This window comes from Homo sapiens, chromosome 9 (assembly GCF_000001405.40).
Source record: "Homo sapiens chromosome 9, GRCh38.p14 Primary Assembly".
NCBI classification, from domain to species: Eukaryota; Metazoa; Chordata; class Mammalia; order Primates; family Hominidae; genus Homo; species Homo sapiens.
In genome coordinates, this window is record NC_000009.12 from 34,377,987 (window position 1) to 34,403,099 (window position 25,113).

Genomic DNA, 25,113 nt, shown 5'->3' on the forward strand with positions numbered 1-25,113 from the left:
GGTCTCAAACTCCTGACCTCAGGTGATCTACCTGCCTCGGCCTCCCAAAGTGCTGGGATTACAAGTGTGGGCCACCGCGTCCGGTCTTTATTTTTTTGAGAGAGGGTCTCGCTCTGTCGCCCAGGCTGGAGTGCAGTGGCGTTAACATAGCTCACTGCAGCCTCAATGTCCTTGGTTCAAGCTATCCCCTCCCGCCTCAGGCTCCTGAGTAACTTGGACCACATGTGTGTGCCACCATACCCTGCTAATTTTTAAATTTTTTTGTAGAGAAGGGGTCTCTTTATGTTGCCCCAGCTGGTATCGAATTCCTGGGCTCAAGTGATCCTCCTGCCTCTGCCTCCCAAAGTGGTGAGATTACAGGTGTGAGCCTCTGCACCCAGCTGGTTTCATATCTATTTGATGCAGAAATAAAAATACTGAAGATCACAGAGATTTTAGAATGGCCCCTTCTCGCTCCCTGAGGGGCAGAGAAACAGGGCTTTGTTTTGCAACTTGAAATTTCTTTGTCATGAGACCCTCCAAAATTATGTTTTGACCAGTTGGACTTGGAATGGGGGACACACCTTGTGCAGCAAGGGTGTCTGAGCACAGAGAGGCTTTTGGGAGGCTGTGATGGGGACTCCTGGAAGCAGAGATCAAGAGCTTTGGGTGTAGGGATAGGTCTTTGACTGTGGAAGGAAGGATTCTGGGTCCTCTGATGAGTGGGAGGGCATCTAAGTTTGGGAGCATACTGAAGAAATGTTAGCTGGAGGGTCTTCGTGGGGTGGAAAGTAGATGGCTCCTGCCTGCATTGCAGGGTGGACCCATCCGTTTGGGCTCTGGGATTCAGGGGAGGAGGATAGCAGCTGGATATAAGGCTACTGTTCTGTGTCAGGAGGGCACTCAGGGATGTACTGAGATGATGGGGTTGGAAGGGCCCAGGGAAGGGTGACTTTGAGAAAAATTGCATCTCAGTTGAAGGGGTTTGATAGAGGCCTGAGTGACTGGCCCTTCACTTCCAGATCCTGCTGGGTAAGGACACAGGAGGCAGGCTTTGGGGTTGAAGAGTTTATTTATTGCTCTGCCCCCTTGGCACAGCAAGCCCAGGCTCTACCAGCAACGATAGTCGGGATAGGTCTCAGACACAAACTCAGGATGGATAACATAGTTGTTTCTCTGGGGACCACCAGACTTCTTGAAGTGACTTGTGTCCCATCTACAGGAAGAGATGGGTCAGCCGTTTTGGATCCTCATATGTCAAAGTGAATATCTGACTCCAGTTTGCAATGCTAACCTTATCCCTACACTTTGTCTATAGCACTGACCTTGGGTTCCAATACTGACCTCCTGACCTTAGGTTCTACTGTTAAGTTGCTGATACCCAATATTTCCTCCTTAACATCGACTTCTTACTCATTACTTCAAGCTCTGAACCAACGCCTTTGGCTGTAAGCCCACTGCCAACCTGTAACCCTTCAATACCGGCCTCCTAGCCCTCTCTTAAGGTCCTCTGTCCTTACCACCTTTGACTGCTCCATGCCACTAGCTCCCCCTCGTGGTATGTGCCTGTCAGTGCACCGCGGAGCGTTCTCATCCCGTCTACCAGACATCCTCCCCCAGCCCCGCCTCACCAAGCCTTCAGGGTGCGTGTGCAAATGAGTGTGTGCGCGTTAGACTTACCTAAGGTTCGGATATGGGTAGTATGACGGCGGGGGAGTTGTAACAGCACACTGCATTCCGGGCCGGTGCTCGTAGGGAGGTACACATCTGGAGAAGGAGGAAGCCGCGAGCATGGAGGGGTTGGGCCTTTTGACTCTCATCCCCCGATTTAGACCAAGCCCCTGGGCGGCGCTTCAGGTGTCCGTCCCAAGGCTCGGAAATCCTCCTCTCCTTCTTCCTCACCCTTCAAAACCCCCACTGCAGCACCGATTCGGGAACCCCCCTTGGAAGACTCCCTCCCGGCAAGGCCTCATTTCTGCCGTTGAGGAAAGAGCGCTGGACCCTGGGGAAGGTCGGGCTCCGGGCGTTGAGGACCTGGAACCACCGGATCCCCGCCACTGGACAGCAATTTCTCCAGCAGTAGGACGAGGCATCATTTCTGAGCTTCCTAGAGGCTCAGACACTTTCCCACTCCCCTATGCCCTTGAGAGGGATAAGACTCAGTCTTGCACAATGAATCAGGCTCTCTCGGCCTGGAGAGGGGCGGGGGATCACTATGGACCCCCACTGCACAGCTCTCTGGGCTACCGCGGACAAAGTTCTCCCAGGCTTGGCTGCCGCCGCGTGCAGGACGAATGCCGAGCTGCAGTCTGGGCTCCAGCTGTGCGCTCGGGCCTCAGTTTTCTTAGCAGTAACACGCGAGGGTGCCTACCTCCGCAGGTGGTGCGGGATCCGAGGAGGCCAGAGCCATTCTGGTAAAGTGGTCACCATTTCCCGGCTCACGTAGCCCCCAGGAATGACCGCACCCACTACCGACGGTGACGGGGGACCAGCAAGAGAGGACATTTTTCTGAGAACGCAGGGCACTCCACAGGCTAGAACCTGCGTCTCTAGGGCCAGGAGTCCAGGAAAGGGGGCAGGGCCAAGGAGATGGGGGAAGAGGATGCGACTGATGTGCGGGGTTTCTTCCTCAAAAACCCTCTGACGGGACCTCCAGAGCATATAGAGAGGCCAGGTTGACCTTGAGCCCAGTTTGAGAGGGACAGGGGTCGGGGACTTGGAGTAACCTTCGTGCTGGTTCTCCCGCCTCAGTTGTTAGTTCAGGCCTTGGAGCCCGAGGGCGGGACACGGCAGGGCCTCGAGAGCGTGCAGCGCGGGGCTAGAGCAGGCTGGGGGCCTGCACGGAAGCTGGCCGGGCTGGAAGGGGGCGGGGTTCTGGGGCGGGGCTTGTGTGGGGTGGAGCCCGGCTGAGGCGGGCGGAGCCCTGCGAACCTTACAGTCGGTTGCTCCCGGCACCAAGGCCGCAGGCGGCGGTCGGTGCAGGGCGCCCCGCTGGCGTAGTAGTCCATCCCGCGCAGACAGTAGTGGCGGCCCGAGCAAGCACTTTCGTAACCATGGAAGGGCAGGCGGCCGGGCAGCGGGTCCACGCACCCGCATCGGGGCGTGATCCGCGGCAGCTGCTGGTTCCGCGACAGTGAGTTCAGCATGTTCACCATCACTTCGCGCTCTGCTCCCGCGGGTCCCCAGCGCAGGAGACCCAAAGACAGATGCACAGGGATGGGAAGAGGCCGAGTCACGGACAGAGTGAGGCGGAGACAAAAGCCAGGACGGATAGATTCAGGGTTCCACCCTCTCCAGGACCCTCGGCCTCCTCCCCGTCCTTCAGGTACCCATCCCGCCCTCCTCCCGGCCTTCCCCAACCCTCTCCACCCGTTCTTTCCAACGCCCCACTACCACTCTTTACCGTAGGCATTGAGCCGCTCCGGCCTAGGAGGGCATTCCAAGGGCATTCCTCGAACTGCTGTCTCCATCCTGGCCTCCTGGAAGCGGCACACATGCTACCTCAAGCTCTGACCTGGCAGAGCTGCTCCCTTTTAGGGGTCCTCCCAGAACACCCAGACCTATCGCCACGCCGCAACTTCTCCCGCCCTTCAGCAGCTCCCCACCTCTCCAGGGCTCTGTGTTGGCGGCTGTCACCGGGCAACGCTTTTACATCGCCAACAGGGGCGGGGTGGGGTAGGAAGGGCTGAAGGTGGATGGGGTTTGGCTCCTGGGCCTGTGACAACCCTGTCTCAGCGTTTGCCTTTGATTTTACCCCTCTTTGTCTAGCTGACTCTGTTTAGCTGTGTCTGGGTGTCTCTCTAATAGGGGGTTTTCAATATTGCTTGTCATTCCGGAGAACTTGTGAAAGATTCGATTCTTGAGGAAGTTCTAATTCAAAAGGGTTCCATCAACCCAGGGTCAGCCATCAGCCTGCAGTTAAGAGCCCCGGCTCTGGTTTTGGGTCCTCTCAGGTGCCCTTGAGTTTGCGGCCGTGGCTGGACCTTCTCCTATGTCCTTGGAAGACTCTCCTGTATCTGCACTGCTATTGAGTAGCCTTAGTCTTTCTCCTTCCGTCTGTGCTCACATCACAAAGGAGGAGAAGGTGGAGCAGGGAGATTCATTGTATCACTGACTCCTTGGCTAGCCCCAGTATCACAGAGGCCAGACTATATGGGGAGGGGCCAGCTGGCAAGCTTCGGAAAGGTAGTATATCAAGGAGTGCACACCAGTCATGTCCCTACAGAGCCCAGCCAGGGATTGGAGCCCAGGGCACCCAATCCCCAGAGATTGAGAGCCAGGGGCCCAGCACAGCCCTACTTTTGGGTTCCTTTTTCAACTAAAAAAATTCAAACCCGGCCAGGTGCAGTGGCTCATGCCGGTAATCCCAGCATTTTAGGAGGCCGAGGCAGGTGGATCACTTGAGGCCAGGAGTCCAAGACCAGCCTGGCCAACATGGCAAGATCCCCGTCTCTACTAACAATACAAAAATTAGCCAGATGTGATGGCGCATGCCTGTAATCCCAGCTGCTCGGGAGTGTGAGGTAGCAGAATTGCTTGAACCCAGGAGGCAGAGGTTGCAGTGAGCCAAGGTTGCGCCACTGCGCTCCAGCCTGGGTGATAGAGTGAGACTCTATCTAAAAAAAAAAAAAAATACAAACTCTAGTTTCACAGATGCGGAAGAGCTCTGGGGCATTTGTTGGGAAAGCAATGAGGACCTAATGGTGAAATATCAGTCACTGTAGTTTGGGAGGTGGTGGGGTATGCGTGTCCCAGTCCCCAGACGTCTGTGCTGGGTGCAACAGATACCTTAGGCAGCCGAGGAAGGTAGGTGGTATACTTGTTGCAGCAGCTGCTGTTGTAAGGTTCCATCCTCCATGTGTTGTACCAGTCACTGCCCAGGTAGTTTGGGCTGCATTTGTCTGCTGGATAATAGGGGTGGAGATGTCAAATAGTGTTACTTCTTACTCTACTCCAGGATCTGAGATCCCCTACATGTTTCTCTTCCGATTCCCAGCACAAAGCTGACCCTCACAGACTGTCCTCAAGCCAGAGACCCCAAGCCCAGCCGGGCCTACACTTGTCTTAAACACTGAGATGCAGCCCATGTCCCATCTAAGGCAACCTTCTGAGTTTAGTCTGGATCCACTGTGCCAGCCACTTTTCATCCTGCCACTACCCTTTTTGAATCAGCCAGCCTGGACAAGGAGCCTCTTCCCAATTCCTCCCTCTCTCTCATCTTCTACTCTAGGCTCTAAGGTTTGCCTATTCTGCCTCCTTCAAAATCACTCGAATCTGGCCAGGCAAGGTGGCTCATGCCTGTAATCCTAGCACTTTGGGAGGCCAGGGCAGGCAGATCACTTGAGGTCAGGAGTTCGAGACCAGCCTGGCCAACATGGCAAAATCCTGTCTCTACTAAAATACAAAAATTAGTTGGGCATGGTTGGTGTGCGCCTGTAAACCCAGCTACTCAGGGGGCTGAGGCATGAGAATAGCTCAAACCAGGGAGGCAGATGTTTCAGTGAGCCAAGGTCATGCCACTGCACTCCAGCCTGGGTGACAGATCAAGACTCAGTCTCAATAAATAGATAAATAACTTGAATCTACTTCCTCTTCCAGTGCCCCATGATCTCACTTCCATATCTTTGCAGCACCTTAACCAGAAGACAATATAATGTCTTGGTTAATAGATACCTATCTCTGCAGATAGACTGCTTGTGTTTAAATTTCAGTTTTACAATTATTATCTGTGTGACCCTGACTGAATTAATTAATTTTGATGTGTCTCAGTTTCTCCAACTTTAAAATGGGGATAATAGTACCATTTACTTCACAGGGTTGCTGTGAGGTTTAAGTGAGTTAGTATATGTAAGACATTTAGAATGATGCTTGGCACATAAAAAACTATTATGATTATTCTACTGTTATCCTTGCCTCACCTTTGAAATCCTATAATCCAGCCTTGACATAGCACCTGTGGTACTTTTCACAAATGAAAATTTGACCAAGACACCCTCCTACTTAAAACCCTATAGGGTTTGTCTGCCTTAGCCCCCAGTCACCTAAGCCTGTCCTACAAGGCCCTCCATGATCCAACAGTCTGAAAGAATACATATGCGACACGGTGTGGAGGAAGCCCTAGCGAAGAGCAGCTGTCTGAGGGGAGGGGTGCAGTGCTGGGATTTGGAGTTCGGGGATGGCAGTTTGCACATACTGAAACTGAGGTGTTTGGGGACATCCAGATCAAGATGACTATAAGCATATGAAGAAGAGTGGAATTCTGATGAGAGGACAAATCTGGAAATTAGGATTTGAAGCTGTCAGTAATTAAAGGCTTGTGTTAAATCAAATGGCCTTGGAGGAGGAGCAAGGGGAGAAGAGGGTGCAGGATAACACCCTGAGGAACCCCATGTTTCCACAGTGGATGCACAGGAAAGGGAGGCATCAGAGAAGCTGAGGAGGAAGTTGTTTCAAGAAGTAGAGTGTGGTCATAGCCTGTGTGCTGGAGGATTAACATACAAAACAACATCAACAACAAAACGAGTAGAGAGTGGTCAGAAGAGTGCAATTCATTGGTCTAGGAGGGTAAAGGTCTCAGAGGGTAAAGACTGCAGAGTCCTGTGGATTTGGTAATCAGAGCCATGCAAGAGCAATTTATTGTTTCATCATAGGAGATGCACATTCCCAACTTCCATTGGGAATTCTCAGTCCATTCAACAAAGACTTATGAAGCCTGGTGCTGTGCTCGATGGAGGGGCACAGCTGTGAATAAGACCAGACTCGGCTCTTTTCGAATGTACAGCCAGACAGATTATATTATATCCAAGCAAATGAGAAAGACAGTTTCTCATAAGGTATAAGAAAGGGTGAGGAAATAGAGACAGTGAGTATGGACCATGTTTCCGAGAACCTAGGCTGTTGAGAACAGGAGCAAGAGATAATTTTTAGTTGGGAAGAAACTAGAGAAGGTTCCAGGTTGAGGGAAAGAGGTGTGGTGGGGCAGAGGGATGCAGGAGAGGTGGAGGGAGCTGATGGGAGCAGGATGGCTGGGAAGATGGGAGGAGATGGTATCTGGAATGCACTTGGAGGGATCTGTCTGTGGGAGGTTAATCCTTTCTCCAACTCGCTAAGGATGGGACCCAGGGCCCTTCCAGGTTTTTTTTTCCACCGACAAGAACCCCAAAAAGCAGGGCCTAGGTCATCTCCTCCAGGGCCAGGGTCAGGTCAGGTGGTTGGTGGAGGGGGTGGTTAGGGAAGAAATCTAGGTCATGGGTGGAGATAAAGTTGACATAGAATCAGGATGGAGGCTGGGCATGGTGGCTCAGGCCTGTAATCCCAGCATTTTGGGAGGCCGAGGCGGGCAGATCACCTGAGGTCAGAAGTTCGAGACCAGCCTGGCCAACATGGTGAAACCCCATCTCTACTGAAAATACAAAAATTAGCCGGGCCTGGTGGCACATGCCTGTAGTCCCAGCTACTCAGGAGGCTAAGGTAGGAAAATCACTTGAACCTGGGAGGTGGAAGTGGGTTGCAGTGAGCCGAGATCATGCCATTGCACCCAGACTGGGCAACAAGAGCGAAACTCCGTCTCAAAAAAAAAAAAAAAAAAAAAAAAAGGATAGAGGTCACGATCCAGGTGGTTGGGTTCAGGTTGGGGGTCATTTTAGGGGTCAGCAAAGGGTGAGGCCTTACCTTCCTCTTGAGAAAGCCAGTACTTCTCAGGCAAGTAGGGGTGGCCTGATATGGACCCCCTATAAGTGTAGTCCTGTACAGCACATTTGGCCATCTTCTGCAGGGCTTCGGGATCCACATGTCGCTCCATGGTATGAGTCAGACCCTGGGCAAGGGGAGAGGAGAGAAGTGGTTAGGGGCACAGAGACCCCAGCCCTGGGGTCTTGCTGGAACTAGATCCAGCCTCTCTTGAGAAGGTCAGCCCAGGTGGGTCTCCCAACCCCCCTCCCCATGTCAGAGGGATTCCCATGCTAGCCTTGGCTCCTCTGCACAGTGCTCTTGTCTGAATTACCCTTTCCTCCTTTCTTTTCATCCAAGGCTAGGGCTTGGGGCCGAGCGGTGGCCTTACGTCAGAGTAGTTTTCTGACTTTCTCATTTCTGCCATTTCCTGGTGGGGAGCTCATGAAGGTCAGAGCTACATATACCTGTCCTTTTTCTCCTAGACTGTATGCTGCCTGGGAGCAGGGCTGGGTCTCTGCCAACAGTGCATCAGGCCCCAGTCTCAGAAAAGAGGGCTACCCTGGGAGCTGGCTGCCTTATGTAGGTGTCTTGGACAGGAAAGGCTCTCTGGGAATCTAGCATCTTAAAGAAAATGAAGGACAGTGCTGGAGGGGCACCTACTTTAAAATGTAATTCCCGGCTGGGCGTGGTGACTCACACCTGTAATCCTAGCCCTTTGGGAGGCCGAGGCAGGCGGATCACGAGATCAAGAGATGGAGACTATCCTGGCTAACATGGTGAAATCCCGTCTCTACTAAAAATACAAAAATTAGCTGGGCATGGTGGCGAGCTCCTATAGTCCCAGCTACTCGGGAGGCTGAGGCAGGAGAATCAACCCAGGAGGGAGAGGTTGCAGTGAGCTGAGATCGTGCCACTGCACTCCAGTCTGGCGACAGAGCAAGACTTCGTCTCAAAAAAAAAAAAAAAAAAAGTAATTTCCTGACTGCAACCTGGCCCTGATTCTGCTGTGGCTCTGGCCCTGACACCAGTGTTGCCTTTGACCCTGACCTTCAATTTGGCCTGGTCCTCACCCTACCTTGACACTTTTCCTGTTCTTGGTCCAGGCCCTGGGCCCCTGTGCTTTTTGGGGTTCACCTCAACTTACCCTGTCACTTCTTGTCTGACTAGATCTGTGACGCCTGGATCAGGGCCTCCCTTCGGGGCCCCTTTTTCCTCAGCTGAGGGCTGAATGACAAGTTAGTTGTAGACCCACAGGTATCTGCAGGCAGCTGGTCTGAAAAGGCAGCTGGGTCACAGGGGTGGGACACCCAGCAAAGTCAGATAGGGCTTCTTCCTCATAACGGGCAGTGAGGTGCTGGGACAGTGATGCTATCACCCACACTTGATCCTTATGATTTTTTTTTTTTTTTTTTTGAGACAAAGTCTCACTCTGCCACCCAGGCTGAAGTGCAGTGATACCATCATGGCTGAAGCCCTAACCTCCCAGGCTCAAGTGATCCTCCCGCCTCAGCCTCCCAGGCATGTGCACCACACCTGGTATTTTTCATAGAGATGGAGTTTCACCATGTTGCCCAGGCTGGTCTTGAACTCCTGGACTCAAGGGATCTTCCCACCTTGACTTCCCAAAGTGCTGGGATTACAGGCATGAGCCACCACACCTGGCCCTTCTCTTGGCCAAGGCTGAGACCTGGTTGCTCCAAGTGCTCCAACCATCCTCAAAACCTCTCTGCTCAGGGGCTTCTGGGATCAACTGTGCCCAGCTGACATTGTTCTGTGAGCAGCTCCTGCACAGTCACACTTCTACGTGGGTGGCGGGCAGAATATGGGAGATGTGGGTGCATGGGTCCCGTGACTCAGCATTTCTCCGAGCTTTACACACACACACACACCCCTGTGTACCCAGATACACCCATAGATGCACATATAGGTGTATATTCATACATACACACTCAGATACACCCACTTACACACTAAACACAGATACACACACACACAAACAAAACAGTCATTTAGAAGAATTCATAGACATCGTCAATTTTTCTGTTAGATGCTTTCCTCAGATGTTTCCTCTTTGTCTGCTCCTGTTGATAAGTAGGAGATTATAAAAGCTTATTGAAGGCTTTGAGCTGTGTGTAGGCTTTGTCCACCATCAGCATCACTGTAGGATGATCTCGTTGGACAATATTTTGCAAACTCTAATGTCAATATCTGTAGGTCTTTCCTCTTGGCTGATGAGATTCTTCAGAAAAGACTCCTTCAACCTTTGGCCTGAGGGTAATGACTTAGCTGCCAGTGTTCTGAGAATCTAGTGCTGAAGATTGCGCTGGGGATTTTAGCATTCAGTATATGGGGGTTCACTTGTTTTCAAAATGGTACCCTGTCCTCAATTGGTATCCCCAGTCCTGAGGTCCTTGCCAAAAATTAGTCTCCTGACTTTAGCAGAGACAGAGGTGGGCAGTTACCCTGTGGCATGAAATAGAAGGGGTGATTAGTGAGTTTAACTGCTTTTTTTTTTTTTTTTTAGATGGAGTTTCGCTCTTCTCACCCAGGCTGGAGTGCAATGGCACAATCTTGGCTCACTGCAACCTCTGCCTCCCGGGTTCAAGTGATTCTCCTGCCTCAGCCTCCCAAGTAGCTGGGATTACAGGCGCCTGCCACCACTCCCAGCTAATTTTTTTTTTTTTTTTGTATTTTTAGTGGAGACGGGGTTTCACCATGTTGGCCAGGCTGGTCTCAAACTCCTGACATCAGGTGGTCCACCCACCTCAGCCTTCCAAAGTACTGGGATTACAGGCGTGAGCCACCTCACCTGGCCTAACTGCTTCTTAACAGCTTTCAAATAATCCTTATTTTTGCCTTGGCCCTGTCCCATCCTCAGTTCCAGAGAAGACTAGGATTACCAGTTCCTGAGCCTTTTGAAAATTCTACAGTTTTAAGTTGAATTATGGCTTGGCTTTTCCATTGCTTGCTTTAGATTCAGCTTTCTCCGATCTGCTAAGTCAGTTACTACTTATTTATCATCTTTTCCAGCTTCCAAAATTGTGTCGCCATTGCCTCTTCCTTCTCACTCTCCTTGTGAGTTTATCTCTTAAATATTCATTTACTGTAGTTTTAGAGGGGTTTTAGGAGGGAGTCAAAACATGTGTTCAATTTTAACCAAGAGAATTATAATTCTTTATATATTCTGTATATTAGTCCTTTACTATTGGCACCTATACATGTTGCAAATGTATATAAAAGATATTTATCTTTTCTGTTTGTGGCTTCTGTCTTTACATTTCTTTCCTCTCTCTTTCTTTTTTTTTTTTTTTTTTTGAGACAGGGTCTCACTGTTGCCCAGGCTGGAGTGCAGTGGCACAATCACAGTTCACTGCAGTCTCTACCTCCTGGGCTAAAGCTATCCTCTTGCCTTAGCCTACCGAATAGCTGGGACTACAGGTGCACACCACCACACCCAGCTGATTTTTTTTTAAATTTGTTTATAGAGACGATGTTTCCCTGTGTTTCCCAGGGTGGTCTTGAACTCCTGAGCTCAAGTGATCCTCCTGCCTTAGACTCCCAAAGTACAGGTGTGAACCATTGCACCTGGCTTTTACTTTTCTTTATAGTGTCTTGATGAACCTCTTCTTGTGTGGTCAGTGCTTTCTGTGAATTATTTAAGAAATTAAACCATACTCTCAGATAATGGAGACAATGTTCTGTATCTCCTTGTAAACACAAAAGTTTTACTTTCCATATTTAATCTGTCAGGAGTTTGGATAACTCATCTTCTTTAAGTGTGTTACAGCTATTTCTTGAACTTTTGCCCTTCTCTATAAATTTTAAAAAGTTTATTGAAGTCTTCAAAAAATCCTTTTGGGATTTTAATTAGTAACTGGGACTACAGGCACACACTACCATGCCCTGCCAATTTTTGTATTTTTTGTAGAGATGAGGTTTCACCATATTGCCCAGGCTGGTCTTGAGCTCCTGAGTTCAAGCAATCTGCCTGCCTCAGCCTCCTAAAGTGCTGAGAACCACGCCCGGTGGCACTGAATCTTTATGATAGTAACTATTCCCATTCGTGAGCATGTTATATCTCTCCATTTATTTAAGTATTTTTAAAAAAGTATTCAATAAAGTTTTATAATATTATCCATATAGTTTTACATACATTGTTAGATTTCTAATTATCTTTATTTTTTGATGCTAGAATGATGTATATTTTAAAAATTATGCTTCCTAAATATTTGTGTTAAGAAATGTGATTGACTTTTAATATTTATCCAATTATTCTAATAATGTGTGTAGATTTTTTTTTTTTTTTTTAAGACTAGTCCAACACACTAGTGAGGAGAGAAAGAGTGGAACAAGGAGTTTGATCTGTAACTGACTGTGAACAATCAATTGAGATAACTCACTACCTTGGACCAGCCAATTTGTAGATTCTATATATGCAGTTGTATTATCTGCAAATAATGACAGTTTTGTTTTTTTCCTTTCCATTTCTTAAATCTTTTTACTTTTTTTTTTGTGGTGTCCTTGCCAGGACCTCCAGTGCAATGCTGAATAGAAGTAGTGAACATCCTTGCCTTGATTCCAATTTTTAAAAGAATGCTTCTAACAGTTAATCAGAATAATGTTGGCTGTATATTTTTTGTATATATTTTTTATCAGGTTATATTTGCTAAGTTTTTCTTTTTTAGTTATAAATGGTTAATAAATTTTAGTAACTGCTATTTCTGCATCTTTTTAAAATGGCTTCATTGAGGTATAATTTACATACCATAAATTTCACTCAAACTGTACAGTTCAAGAATTTTTACTAAGATCTCATGTCCATTTCTGCATATTTTGAAATGATCTTCTGTTTTTTTTCTTGAATCTGTTAATGTGATGAATGATATTTATTTTTCTAATGTTAAACTATCCTTGCATTTATGAAATAAATACAATGTAACCATCACAAATTATTTTTTATACACTACCGGATACGGTTTTCTAATATTTTATTTAGAATTTTTGCTTTTGTATTTATGAATGAATTGGACTGTATACTTTTATTTTCTTATACACTTTTGATTAATTTTTTTTTGTGGGCTCAAGCATTCCTCCTGCTTCAGCCTCCGCAGCAGCTGGGACCATAGGTGTGTGCCACCACACCTGGCTAATTTTTAAATTTTTTTGTAGAGACGGGGGTCTCACTATGTTGCCCAGGCTGGTCTTGAACTCCTGGGCTCAAGCAATCCTCCTGCCTCAGACTCCCAAAGTGCTAGGATTACAGGTGTGAGCCACTGCACCTGGCCTTCTTGATTAATTTTGTATCAAAGTTATGCTGGGTTCATAGAATGAGTTAGGAAGCATCCTCTTTTTTTCTGTTCCCTGACAGAGTTTGTATAAGATTAAAACAACTGTTCTTCGAGCATTTGAGGAATGTAACTGTTTATCTATGCTGGGTGTTTTCTTTGTGGAAAGTTTTCAAATTACTGGTTTAATTTTTTAAATCGTTATAGGAGCATTCAGATTTTTTCCAATTCTTGAATTGGTTTGGCAAGTTTTATTTTTCTTGTGTTTGTCCATTTGTTTTCAATTTTATTAGCATAAAGTTGTTCAGAACGTTCTCTTACTTTTAATTTCTTCTACATCTATTGTTAGACCCTTCTTTTATTTGTCTGTGCCTTGTTTTTCTTAATTCTCTAGAGATTTGTCTATTTTATGAGCCTCATCAAAGAAACAACTTTTGCCTGTTCATCTTGTTGAATCTTTGCTTTCTAGTTTAACTTTTGCTCTTATTTTCATTATCTCCATTCTTCTATTTTTCACATTTATTCTTTTCCCCATAAGTTGTTAAGTCTGATGCTCAGGTCATTTATGTTTCACATTTTTTTAGACAAGGATTTAGGGATATAGGTTTTCCTCTACAGCTTTTATTGTACCCCACAAGTTTTGATATGCAGTCTTTTCAGTTCTGAGTATATTTCCATTTGTTTTGATTTCTTATTTGACCCATTATTTAGAATGGTGGTTTTCAAAATTTTAAACTCACAAAGGATTTTGGTTATCTTTTTGTTGTTGATCTGTAATTTTATTACATTGAGGTTAGAGACAGTTATTTTGTATGATGTCAATCTTAGAATTCTGTTTATGTTTGTTTTATGACTTAGTACTTGGTCCACTTTTATCATGTTCCTTGTATGTTTAAATCTGTAGTAGTTGGGTTCAGGGCTTTATTTATGTTAAATAAATCAAGTATACTAATTATATTGCGAGAGTTTTAGATCTTTGCTTTTTTTGGGGGTTGGGGATGTCTGCTTGACCAATCAGTAATTGTAGTGTTACAATCTAATATGGTATATTTTGCCAATTTCTCCATCTGGTAATTCTTTATTTTTATTTTTAAAACATTTTGTAGAGATGATATCTTGCTTTGTTGCTCAGGCTGGCATGGTTTGTTTGTTTGTTTGTTTTGTTTTTTGAGACAGGGTCTTACTTTGTCACCCAGGCTGGAGCACAGTGGTGTGATCGTGGCTCATTGCAGCCTCAAACTCCTGGGCTCAAGCCATCTTCCTGTCTCAGCTTCCTGACTGTAGGCACACACCATCACACCCAGCTAATTTTTAAATTTTTTTGTAGAGATGGGGTCTTGTTATGTTGTCCAGGCTGGTCCTAAACTCCTGGGCTCAAATGATCCTCCTACCTGGGCCTCCCAAAGTGCTAGAATTACAGGTCCTTCTATTAATTCTATCAGGCCAATACAAGTTTGTAATTATAATATCTTCCTGGTGAATTGAAACTTTGTCATTTATGTGGTGATCCATCTAAAAACCGTGTGTGTGTGTGTGTGTGTGTGTGTGTGTGTGTTTAATCTGAAAATCTCTTTTGTCTGTTACTTTTTAGCTTACTCAGTTTTTTGTTATTGTATCTGTATCAGTCAAATTTGGATCAGAGAAACCACTTTTAGTGATATAGCATAAGGGATTTACTTGAGAGATGAGACTTTACACAATTGTGGATACTGGTTAAGAACTCTGCAAAGCTGTTGTCTTTGCATCTATTTTTAAGCCTGAAGTCAGTGGCTGGCATCAGGAAGCAGAACTGGACATGAAGTGGGGAAGAGCAAGGACAAACTGGAACTCATGAGGAGAACAAAGTCGAATTTGCATCTGTCTCACTGCCTACAACAATGATGATATGGATGGCCTTCAGGACAAGCTGGTGCCCTTTGCCATGGAATTGTACATACACCTGGCCCAGGACCCAGAGAGGTTGAAGGAGATCCAGTGGGAGCTAGAGGGGTTGTAGCCAAATGCTGCTCTATGGCAATAAGGTGAACTACTAAATCAGCAACATTGTGCATAAGGTGCCACAGTGCTTGGTACCCCACGTCAATCTTCAGAGGGTAAAAATGGCTGTTCTTTCATTTATTCTTTCCAAATATCATGCAGATTTCTCTCATGGCCAATTAGGAAACATTTAGGAAAGGGAATTCTTGCAAGTATAGTTCCAGCTAGTTGACAGTACAAAACTATGTCTTATGCTCTCTTTAGAACAATGGGAGAATCTAGGAACACCTAACTCTGTCCTGTTCCAACTTAAATGATAGTTTTGTAATATTTTAGTTCTTCCTTTAAATATTACAGATTAAAAGCCATTATAATTATTTTCTATAGATAACGTTTGCTTAAATTTACCTCATGTTTATCAGTTCCTTACCATTCCTTCTTGCATCTCAGACTTTCCTTCTGTGATCATTTTCCTTCTCCCCAGAGTATATCCTTTAGAAGTTCCTTTATTGTATATAGACCTGAGGGTAATAAACATTTTCATTGTTTTCCTGTAAATGTCTTATCTTTCCTTGGTTTTTGAAAGGATGACACTTCGAGAATTTTTTTTCTTTGTCTGTTTTTAAGGTCATCTCTTAAGCTGGTGAACTGCAGTTTCATTGTGAGGTGCCTAACTGTGGAATTTCTTCTATTTTTTTTCTCTATTTGTGGATTCATTTATTTTGTTAGTTCTGGAAAATTCTGAGCCTTTTTCTTTTTAAATAATAACTGTTCTTTATGCTCTTTCCTTCTGAGATTCCCATTAGATGTTTGTGGGATCTTCTCATTCTGTCTTTCATATCATTTAATGTTTCTTTCATATTTTCATCTCTTTGTCTCTCTGTGCTGCGTTCTGGGAAAATTTTTTCAGTCTATTTTTCATTTCACTGGACTTTTCAGCTGTGTTGACTCTACTCTTTAATCCATCTGCTGAATTTTTGGTTTAGCAAATACATTTTTCATTTCTAAAAATTCTATTCAGTTCCTTTTTACATTTGCCTACTCATTTTTTAATAATCTCTTATTGCTTGCTTATTTTAATGATTTCGTATTTTTATTTTTTAAATAGAGACAAGGTCTCACTATGTTGCCTAGGCTAGTCTTGAACTCTTGGCCTCAAGTGATCTTCCTGTCTCAGCCTTCCAAAGTACTGGGATTACTACAGGCATGAGCCACTATGCCTGGCCAGATTTCACATTTTTAAAAAATCATAATTATTCTATATTATTATTTTTTGAGATGGAGTCTTGCTCTGTCACCCAGGCTGGAGTGCGGTGGCATGATCTTGGCTCATTGCAAGCTCTGCCTCCTGGGTTCACACCATTCTCCTGCCTCAGCCTCCTGAGTAGCTGGGACTACAGGCATCCACCACCATGCCCGGCTAATTTTTTATATTTTTAGTAGAGATGGGGTTTCACCGTGTTAGCCAGGATGGTCTCGATCTCCTGACCTCATGATCCACCCACCTCGGCCTCCCAAAGTGCTGGGATTACAGCTGTGAGCCACTGCACCCGGCCCAATTATTCTATATTATTTAACTGTTAATTCTAATATCTGAAATTCTTGGGAGTTTAAGTTTATTGTTTGTTGTGTCTGCAGATTCTGTAATATGGTGGTTTGTTTTCTTTTATCTCTTATTGTGAGCTCATGTTTAATTGGCCGTTCTTCAAAGGATACCTGGAAACCTACACTGAGGATGTTTACCGCCATTGAAGATAAATATGTGTGTGTGGGGTGTGTGTTGGGGGGCAGAGACATGGAACTTTCTGGTTAAGTTTGGAATGTACAGATTTAATTCCTCTATCTTTCAGCTAGTTTAAGGCTTAAATGCCTGTTTATAGTGCTAATAATGGCATTTGTCCTCAGGACAATCCTGTCTTCTTAACTATACTTACCACTCATCTCCATGAGACTCCAACACAAAATAAAAATTAATTTTTATTCAGAACTTAAGTTGTTTTGAAGCAACAGGGCCCTTCAGAGTTTCTAGACCACCATACTGCCAAAAGCAGCAGCTTTTCCTTCATTCTTTTTTTTTTTTTTTAAGAGACAGGGCCTCGCTCTGTCATCCAGGCTGGAGTAAAGTGGTGTGATCAAGGCTCACTGCAGCCTCAACCTCCTGGGCTCAAGTGATTCTATCTCAGCCTCCCGAGTAGCTGGGACTATGGGCACATGCCACTGCACCTGGCTAATCTTTGTATTTTTGGTAGAGACAGGATTTCACCATGATGCCCAGGCTGGTCTTGAACTCGTAGGCTCAAGCAATCTTCCTGTCTGCTTCAACCTCCCAAAGTGCTTGGATTACTGGCCTGAGACACCATGCCTGGCTTTTCCTTCATTCTTAATACCACTGCTATCTGACTTTCACTCCTCGCCATTCATTGAAGCTGTCTGGCTAAGTTACCAAGAGTTACTACATCCGAGAGATTTCTCTGTCACTAACACTTGACACTGATCTTTGTCTAATAATGCTGTCTTTATTGGTTTATCTTTGATTTTCCTCCTAGTTCTCTGGCAATAATTCTCTGTCTTCTTTTATGGCTTTTTTTCCTTTACCTACCCTTAAATATTTATATTCTCCAAAGTTATGTCCTTGGCCATTTTCTCTCTCTTCTTTGGCAATTTCATCTCTTCCTATGACTTCACCCACCATTTATATGATGATGACTTCAAGATCTCTATCTATAACCCAGACCTCTTTCCTTTGCTTCAGATAAGTATATCTAACTACTTGCCAAACATCTTTTCCTGGATATCCTCAAATATTTTTGTTCTCAAATGAACTCCAAATCTCTAATCTGTTATTCCAAACCTCAGTTGATAGCATTAGCATTCCTCCAGCTGCCACAGCCAAAAACTCAAGGGTCACCCTAATCTCTCACCTTACCATCCATATGGTGACCAAAATCTGTTCATCTACTTTTTAAAATTCCCTTCTATTGAGTATGGAGTCAGGCACTCTCATATTTTGCTTGTGGAAATGTAAATTGTTACAACCCTTACTTATTATGGCAATTTGAGGTATATAGCAAAAGTTTTAAAAATGTGTATATCTTTTCTCCTAACAATTTCATGTCTAGTAATTTATCCTAAGGGAATAATTGGAAATGTGTACAAAGATACATGTATAAGAATGATTATACTAGCAAAATTTTATAAAGTACCTAAATTTTCAATAAGATTCCTTAAATACACCATTTTGTAATAAATTTTATTTATTTTTATAATAAACAATATTTGCTTCCTGAAAGGGCATACGATAATATATTAACAATGGTAATTTTAGGTAGTAGGATTTTAGACCTTTTTTCTTTGTGCTTCTCTGAGTTATCTGCATTTTCTACATTCAGCGTATATTTATTTTGGAGTTAGACAAAATAAATTATTTTAAAAATTCTCTCCTATTCAACGAATTCCTTTTTTCATTGTGACAATCTCCTTATCTCCCACCTACATCCTCCTTCCTCATCTGTTCACCCCTCGCTGGCCTTCCTGCCCTCAACCCCAGCCCCTGCAATTCCCTGACACTGTGGCCAGAGTGGCCTAACTCACAATTGAACCATGACTCTCCCTCCCAGGTTCAAAAACCTGGAGCCTTATGTCCACGCTCCACAACATAGCCAGAGAGGCCCTTCTTGGTCTGCAGACTCCTCTCTCACCCAAGGACTAAACTCTCCTGCTCTAACAGTTTCAGTTTCTGGTAGGTCCCTGCCCACAGGCTGCCTTTTCTCCTGACTGTCTTCTGCTGGAAGCCTCCTCCTCCTGGATCCCTCAGTAGGTCTGCCCTTCAGGTTGGGCAGCGCTCTCCCCTTTCTGGCTCTCCACCTCTGCTGGTGCATGTTCCACATCGGGCAACTCTACTTTGTTCACTTGTTTGCTGTGAGCTCCTCAAAGGCAAGGGCTGGCCCTTCCCTTTTGTATCCTGGGTTGCCTACAGATGAAGATACTCAGCAAAGTTGGATGGTACACACAGATAAATTCTCTTAGGCAGAGTCACAGTTAGACTCACAGATTTCCTCCCACCTGGCCACCAATCTTCAAGCACAGACACAAGTAAACTGTGATACATATAGATAAAGGCATGCATATAGGACAGTTTCCGGCCTATTCCACAGGCAGCCTCAGGGCCTTTGCACTTTGTGATCACTTGTCTGGAACTTTCAGCTCTTCTATTCTTTCAGGTCTTCATGTGGCTAGTTCTATCTCATCTTTCCAGTCTCAGTTTATTGTCACCTTGAGAGAGGGTTTTCCATGACCTAAGTAGCCCTCCCTTTCCATTTCCACTTCCACTACTCTGTTTATTTCCTTTACAGTATTTTTGAAGAATTTATAAAACTCATGTTTATTTCTTATTATCTGCCTGTTCCTACCTCCTACCCTAATGTAATTCCATGAAGGCAGGATTTTGTGCTGTTTTACATACCATTGTAAATTCTGTGCCTAGGTAAATGAATAAAACACACACATACACAAAGCTACAAATCATTACAAACATACATTGCCAGGCATCCAGACTGGCCATACACTCTGGCCTGCCCCTCCCCACCAATCTCCCACTTACCGGAGTCAGAAACTTGTTGGCTTCCCAGGCACACAGGGGTGGGTCCTTATAGACCTCCTTGATGGAGGTGGGAGCCCTGTAGGAGTCACTGTAGGTACTGATAGGGGTCCTGGTCTTACGGGAGAACAGGAACATGGTGTGGTCTTGGAGATGCCGTGGTGGGCTCTACCTGTCAAGGGCTCCTGCTGGACATCAGTGACCACCCTTCCCCTAGACAGGCCACACCTCCAGCCTGGCAGGTGCCCTTAGCTGCTATAATCCCCTCCTGCAGAGGATCTCTCAGCTTCCTTCCCCAACAGCCTTCCTGCTCCCACCCCACACTGATGCCCCCTCCAGGATGGGCACTGCCCATTGTGATATCACCTGGCTCAGCCCCATCCCTGGGAAGGTGAGGAGGTCTAATTCCCTCCCTGCTCCTGACCCCCTCCTGCCTCAAGCCTATCAAAAGAGCCCAATTTCTAAGAGTTCAGAGGGCCTCTGGAGATCTTCTAGGTCAGGTTTCTCACTGTTGAAGAGAAACAGAGGTTCGGAGGGGTTGTGACTCACCCAGGGTCATGCAGCAGGTCAGTGGCATGCCTGGGAACCCACAGGTGGAGGTGGAGTAACATGTGTGCCCAGAGGACCAGTTCTGTCTGCTTCCCAGCCCATCTGCCCCTTGCCCACACCCCAGGGAGGGAGCTGAGGCTGGCTTGTTTGATGCTTTTAATATCATTATTTGTGTTACACGATACACAACCAAGGATGATGGTCAATACTGCAATGAAAATGTTAAAAAAAATATTATACACGGCTCATGTCTTCCACACACCTTCCTGGAAATAAATTAGTGAGCACGGAGAAACCTGGCTGGGTGGCAGCCACAGCTGAGAGAGGAGGGAGTGTTAAGGCAGTATCTACAAGGGGAAGGGTGGCAGGAGGGCAAGCTAAGGCCTAGATTCTTCCCTCCAACCTCCCAGACAGGGAAGGAGGGAGCCACACCCCTCCCTAGACACAGAAGCTGCCACTGCCAGCTTCCTGCCTCTCTCTGCCACACATGCACTGCCTCAGTTGGAAGCCCTTGCCTGCCAGGGAACTAGTATGTCCTGTGGGGGGGGAGATTTTCCCTGGTGTCTCAGGGCCACAGAGATTGAACAATGGGCCCGAGTCACACTGCAAGTCAGCAGCAAAGGCAGCAGTCTAAATGAGCCCCCAAAAAGAGGAGGTACCCATGTTCTAGAAAGGTGAGCCAAGGAGCCCCGGGGTGGTGGTGGTGGTAGTGGGAGGGCTGGCTCTGGGGTCCAGATGATGGGGGCACAGGGGTTGGGGGGATGTTGATCTGGGTGGGAGAGGTGGGTTCAGATGGGGGCCAGTATGGGCCTTGTGGGTCCTGCAGGTACCTTCTCTGTCCTTGCCTCCCTTTGTTTGGCATTTTCTCATCATCTAACTTGGGTCCCTGCACTAGAGGAGGTAGGAATGGGTTGGCGGAGTGGGGGGTGGTGAGCTGTACCCCAATATTTTGGAGCTGGCAGTTCCTGGGTATGATGCAGGGAGAGGTACCACCCTTCCTAAGCCAACAGTCTCACTCCCTCCTCTCATTGCTCCCCATTCCAGCTCCCACCTCCCAGGATTGGTGTCCAGAGAGTGGGCTGTGGGTGAGTCTACTGCATGCCTGCAGCATGTGAGTGGATCCATGGGAGTGGATCCACCAGCACATGTGGGGTGTTAGCATGAGATGATCCACCTGGGCCTGTGCTATAAGGTATGTGGGCACAGGCCTGTGCAGTCTTAGGCTATCTGTGCTTTCATTTTTCTTCACACGGTGGCAGGTCTACACTGCCCAGCCCCAGGGGTGGGCCTTCCTCACCTCTTCCCTCTTGATTTTCAGTCTCAGCTTTCCAGTCCCCTCCCCCAAACCAGCAATAGCAGAAGCAGCTGTATACACATCTTGATCTACAGACACCCTATACAGCCACACACAATAGACAACCCTCCAACACACACACACATTCACAGACAAACACGTAATCCCAAACAGAGCCACATGTGCTCAGACATACACAGTCCTGATAGGAACTGCCCCTTCGCCTTTCTACAGAGACACACAACTCCGCCCCACCCCAACCTTTAGGTATACTGAGACACACAGAGATTGCCCCCTCCCCACCACAGAAATTTCTATGAAGAAACTCTTTCAGGTATAAAAGGATCTTCAACATAATTTCAGCTGCTGTTCATTTTCTAGTTGAGGAAACTGAAGACGAGAGAAAGCAAGTGGCTTGTTGAAGATCACAGGGAGGGGCCAGAGCTACAACCAGAACCCAGGCTTCTGACTCCCGGTCCAAGGCTGTCAGCCCATTGCACTGCTGAGCCGCCTTCTGCACTGTAAACAGACCACACAGGCACTTCCCTACCAGGGACACCCACATCTATGACAGGAATAGACTGAGGAGAGACAGGTCCAACAGAGACACACACCCACCCACCCCCTGACAGCCTCAGAGATACACACACATTCTGCTAAGCACTCCCTACCACATCCAAACAACCACATCCATAGAGCCACTCAGCCCACTGGATTCACCAAAGCTTGCTCCTGGATTCTTACTGGGAAGCAGCCTCCCACGTCTTGGGCTGGGGTGAGGGGAATGGGCCATTGGAGTCCAGCCTTACTCCCTGCTTCCAGGCTGGGATTGAGACCAATGAGCAGAAGCGTGGGTGAGGGTGGGGGCAGGGTGGGGTGGGCTGGTGGCAGACAGATAGATGCATTGGTGAGGGGCCAATTAGGACAGATCACACCACCCAAACCTCAGCCTGTCTGTAAGGCCCACCTTACCCTGCCCCACTCCCAGAGTGCAAGGAAGCGGGTGAATGGGGCAAGAGGAGGAAGAAGGCAGTGATCCGATGGGTGAGGGGCACTACCCGGTTGGGCAGCTTTGCCAGGCTTCCCATCTGAGGAGGGGGAAATGCAAATAGAAACATGGGCCGGTAGGGGGCGTGTGAAGGGGGCTCCGAGGTGCTGGGACCCGTCCCCACTGCCCTGGGCCTTTCTCCCTCCGAGCCCCTTTCCTGGTTAGGCTGAGGCCGGGGCTTGGGAGTTCATGGCTTCGCTGGGGTGGGGCCAAGCCCCTGGCTTTGTGATCCCCCCACTCGTTAATGTTGACCTCCCTGCCGTCCAGTCTTCTCTCTTGGCCAGCCCTGGGAAGCGGGGCAGGGTGCTGGGTGAGGTTCCCCCAGGTAACTGAACAAACGGCCCCCACCCCTCCTCAGCTCCCGGGTGGAGAGAGACCCAGTTTTGGTTTCTCCAGCTCCATGAACACACAGAGGTACACGTCCTACCATAGGAGGAAGCAATGACTGTTATACGAGGTTGGCGGCTGTAGGGGCGCGGGGCCGGGGGCAGGCAGACGAGCTGGGAAGGGGTCGGCCTCTGCCCGTCCTACCCGGCCCTTGGCGGCCCCGCCCCGGCGACCGCAGTGGCCCCGCCCGCTACTGAATGTGGCAGGCGGTGGAGGACGTGGCCTGGCAGCACATGCACGTGGGGTTCACGGACTTGGGGGGGATGAGGTCTAGGTCCTCGTCGTCGGGGATCTCATCTAACCGGTAGCCGTCCTTCAGCAGCTGGATGTTCAAATCTTGGTTGATCTGCTGTAGGCAAAGGGGAGGGAGGTCAGGCCCGAGCGGCAGGGAGGCACCACCCACAGCTCTGCGGCCACTCCAGGCCGTCTGCGCCCCAGTCCAGCCAGTGCCCTGGATATCAGCCCCGCCCTGTCCCGGGTCTGTCTGTACCCCCAGGCCCCGCTCCTGCCTAGGCGCCCTCCTTCGCCTCTGGCCTCTCTTTCTAGTCACCCCTCCCCATTCTATGGTCAACTTCACACCTCTGGTCCTGCTCCTATTCGGGTTTTGCCCCTATCTCAGGCCGGCTACTAGAGGATATCACCTGTATTTTACACCCATTCTATTTAAATGGCCTGCTGCAATCTAAAGCCCCACTCCTAACCCTGGGCTCCATGCACTTGAGGCCAGTAACCACTTCTCTTCCATCCTATCCCAGGCCCACCCTGTGCAGGGCACCACCCAGCCTTGCCCAGCCCTCTTTTTCCTTGTACTTGGGCATTGGCCCCAGCCCTCCCCCGGGATGGCAGTGATCCTGCCCGGTGGTGTCTAGGGTGAGAAGGGGTAGGGGCTCACCTCAGCAGAGGAGTAGCCGGAGGAGGAGTATCTAGACATGTCAAAGTCATCATCGCTGGCCATGGAGGAAAGAGAGGGAAAGTGATACCAAGAAATTACATAGAAAACTCTCTGCAATCCCACCTCCCATTAGGCAGCATCCTATACCTCCCTTACAGTTCCAAATAGCAAAATCTCAATACGAACTGTGCTTGCTGTGCAAATGCAGGATTTTAAAGACAAGTTCCCTAGCCCCACCCTTAAAATCAATTGCTATCCTTAACCTCCTTCTAAATATAGCAGTTACTCCTTTCACCCCCTTCTCATCTTTTTTTTTTTTTTTGTAGACTCAAATCACCCTGACTTGTAGGATATTCCCAAAGTCCAAGTCTAGCCAGGTGTTTTCCAGGGAGTAGGGCTCCTTCCTGAGGGGATGGGGCATTAAGCATCATATTCTGCTGTCCAGAGACAACATCACAGGCCAATTAGGGACAACCATTGGATCAGTTGTCCCAGGATGACAGCAGACAACGCAGGCCCCCCTTTCCTCTCTCTGCCACCTCTCTTCAACCCCCAGTCCCTGGTGTAAAAAAATTCCCATCCCTGGAGAATTCACCCTTGGAGAGATTCTGGCTGAAGAATATCCCAATTCTGACAATATAGCAGGTGTGGCCTGTACAGCCCACTTGTGCTATACAGGTTCCTTTGGGCTGCCCAGCTACCCCCAAGCCCCCATACACACCTGTCCGTGTCAAGGGCTACCAGTGGCTTCTCATCAGGGCTCTGGTCAAGTGAGGAGTAGCCTTTATTGGGGACGACCAGCCTAGGTGAAGAATTTCGGGAGTTAGAGTGGCAAAGTGGAGCATAGAAACCTGGCAAGGGACTGGGTTGGGCCCCGTCCCACCACTTTCTTCCCTCCCTCCCCACCTTGGATCCTGTTAAGGCTGTCTCCTCTCAGAGAGGAGCTGGGCCTGAGGAGGGAGGGAAGAGGGGGAGGCTCAGGACCAGCAGAAATAGGTCCTGGCTGGCAGGGTCCAGGTGGGGTAGGGAGGGCCTCTACCTTGTTCGGGCCATGACATTGTTCTTCTTGGGTTGCTGGTTGACAGGGCTACCCATGCTGCCATTCTTCAGGGAGCCCTTCCGGGCCAGCTCCCGCTGCTTCTCTGCAGGAGAACATGGGAAGGAAGCTGTGTCCTGCCCCTGAGGCCACCCTGTCTTACTACTCAGGGCAGCCTGGGCTGGGCCTCCACTGTGAAACCACTTGCTCCTAGAAGGACTGAGGCAGGGATCCCAACTCCAGGCCCCTGCTGCTTGGTGGAGATAGTACCTGGCCCTGCACAACCTGAGGCAGACAGTGGGGGGCAAAAAGAGGAGGCTGCCCCCTGTTTTTCAGGAACCACAACTCCCATGTTAGGGTAGTTAGTGTGTACTTGATGCCAGGGAAAGGCTGGCGGG

At 47.7% G+C, this 25,113-nt stretch overlaps 2 protein-coding genes and 1 long non-coding RNA gene across 14 annotated transcripts in view, besides 1 other annotated feature; 1 reads left to right on the top strand and 2 right to left on the bottom strand.

Annotated features, from left to right (window-relative positions):
• Window positions 1-1,032: 1,032 nt before the first annotated feature.
• Window positions 1,033-19,824, bottom strand: SPMIP6 (sperm microtubule inner protein 6). 7 transcript variants are annotated; one of them, NM_032596.4, is made up of 7 exons: window positions 19,513-19,824; window positions 7,651-7,795; window positions 4,768-4,883; window positions 3,383-3,458; window positions 2,916-3,145; window positions 1,660-1,746; window positions 1,033-1,195 (listed from the first exon to the last, which is right to left on the bottom strand). In NM_032596.4, the coding sequence occupies exons 1-6, from the start codon at window positions 19,645-19,647 to the stop codon at window positions 1,660-1,662; spliced, it is 789 nt and encodes a 262-aa protein (NP_115985.2). In that variant the 5' UTR covers window positions 19,648-19,824; the 3' UTR covers window positions 1,033-1,195. The 7 variants fall into 7 exon arrangements, with proteins under 7 accessions (NP_115985.2, NP_001397891.1, XP_011516357.1 ...); NM_001410962.1 differs by having other exon boundaries at window positions 2,911-3,145; XM_011518055.3 differs by lacking the exons at window positions 4,768-4,883; window positions 7,651-7,795; window positions 19,513-19,824 and adding an exon at window positions 3,734-4,139 and having other exon boundaries at window positions 2,911-3,145.
• Window positions 2,827-3,432: an enhancer, noted in NCBI's record as "H3K4me1 hESC enhancer chr9:34380811-34381416 (GRCh37/hg19 assembly coordinates)". NCBI's record gives its function as "activates a minimal SCP1, AML or CMV promoter by ChIP-STARR-seq in naive H9 embryonic stem cells {active_cell/tissue: H9 hESC(naive)}" and the evidence as "EXISTENCE:reporter gene assay evidence [ECO:0000049][PMID:30033119]".
• On the top strand, window positions 2,914-18,348 carry LOC124902144 (uncharacterized). The gene is made up of 2 exons (XR_007061464.1): window positions 2,914-3,304; window positions 10,175-18,348. It is a non-coding gene; the product is annotated as an uncharacterized LOC124902144 (long non-coding RNA).
• The window catches only part of FAM219A (family with sequence similarity 219 member A), a 60,387-nt gene continuing 55,471 nt past the window's right edge, over window positions 20,198-25,113 (bottom strand). For 4 of the 6 annotated variants that reach the window (NM_001184945.2, NM_001184942.2, NM_001184943.2 and 1 more), the window contains exons 3-6: window positions 24,719-24,821; window positions 24,401-24,481; window positions 23,680-23,734; window positions 20,198-23,133 (exon numbers count right to left, since the gene is read on the bottom strand). In NM_001184945.2, the coding sequence (NP_001171874.1) occupies window positions 22,978-23,133; window positions 23,680-23,734; window positions 24,401-24,481; window positions 24,719-24,821 (395 nt within the window). In that variant the 3' untranslated portion in view covers window positions 20,198-22,977. Of the gene's footprint in view, window positions 23,137-23,679; window positions 23,735-24,400; window positions 24,482-24,718; window positions 24,822-25,113 lie in introns of all 6 variants that reach the window. The other 2 variants (NM_147202.2, NM_001184940.2) reach the window with 1 other exon arrangement.

What these genes read in the sequence shown, in the direction of transcription:
- SPMIP6 (NM_001410962.1), bottom strand. Translation starts at nt 19,647, where the DNA reads ATGTTCCTGTTCTCCCGTAAGACCAGGACCCCTATCAGTACCTACAGT. An exon ending in GGAGCGGCTCAATGCCTACG is followed by an intron (nt 3,146 to 3,382) that starts GTAAAGAGTGGT and finishes CCGCGGGAGCAG; the next exon opens with AGCGCGAAGTGATGGTGAAC. An exon ending in TACCCATATCCGAACCTTAG is followed by an intron (nt 1,196 to 1,659) that starts GTAAGTCTAACG and finishes CTCTTCCTGTAG; the next exon opens with ATGGGACACAAGTCACTTCA.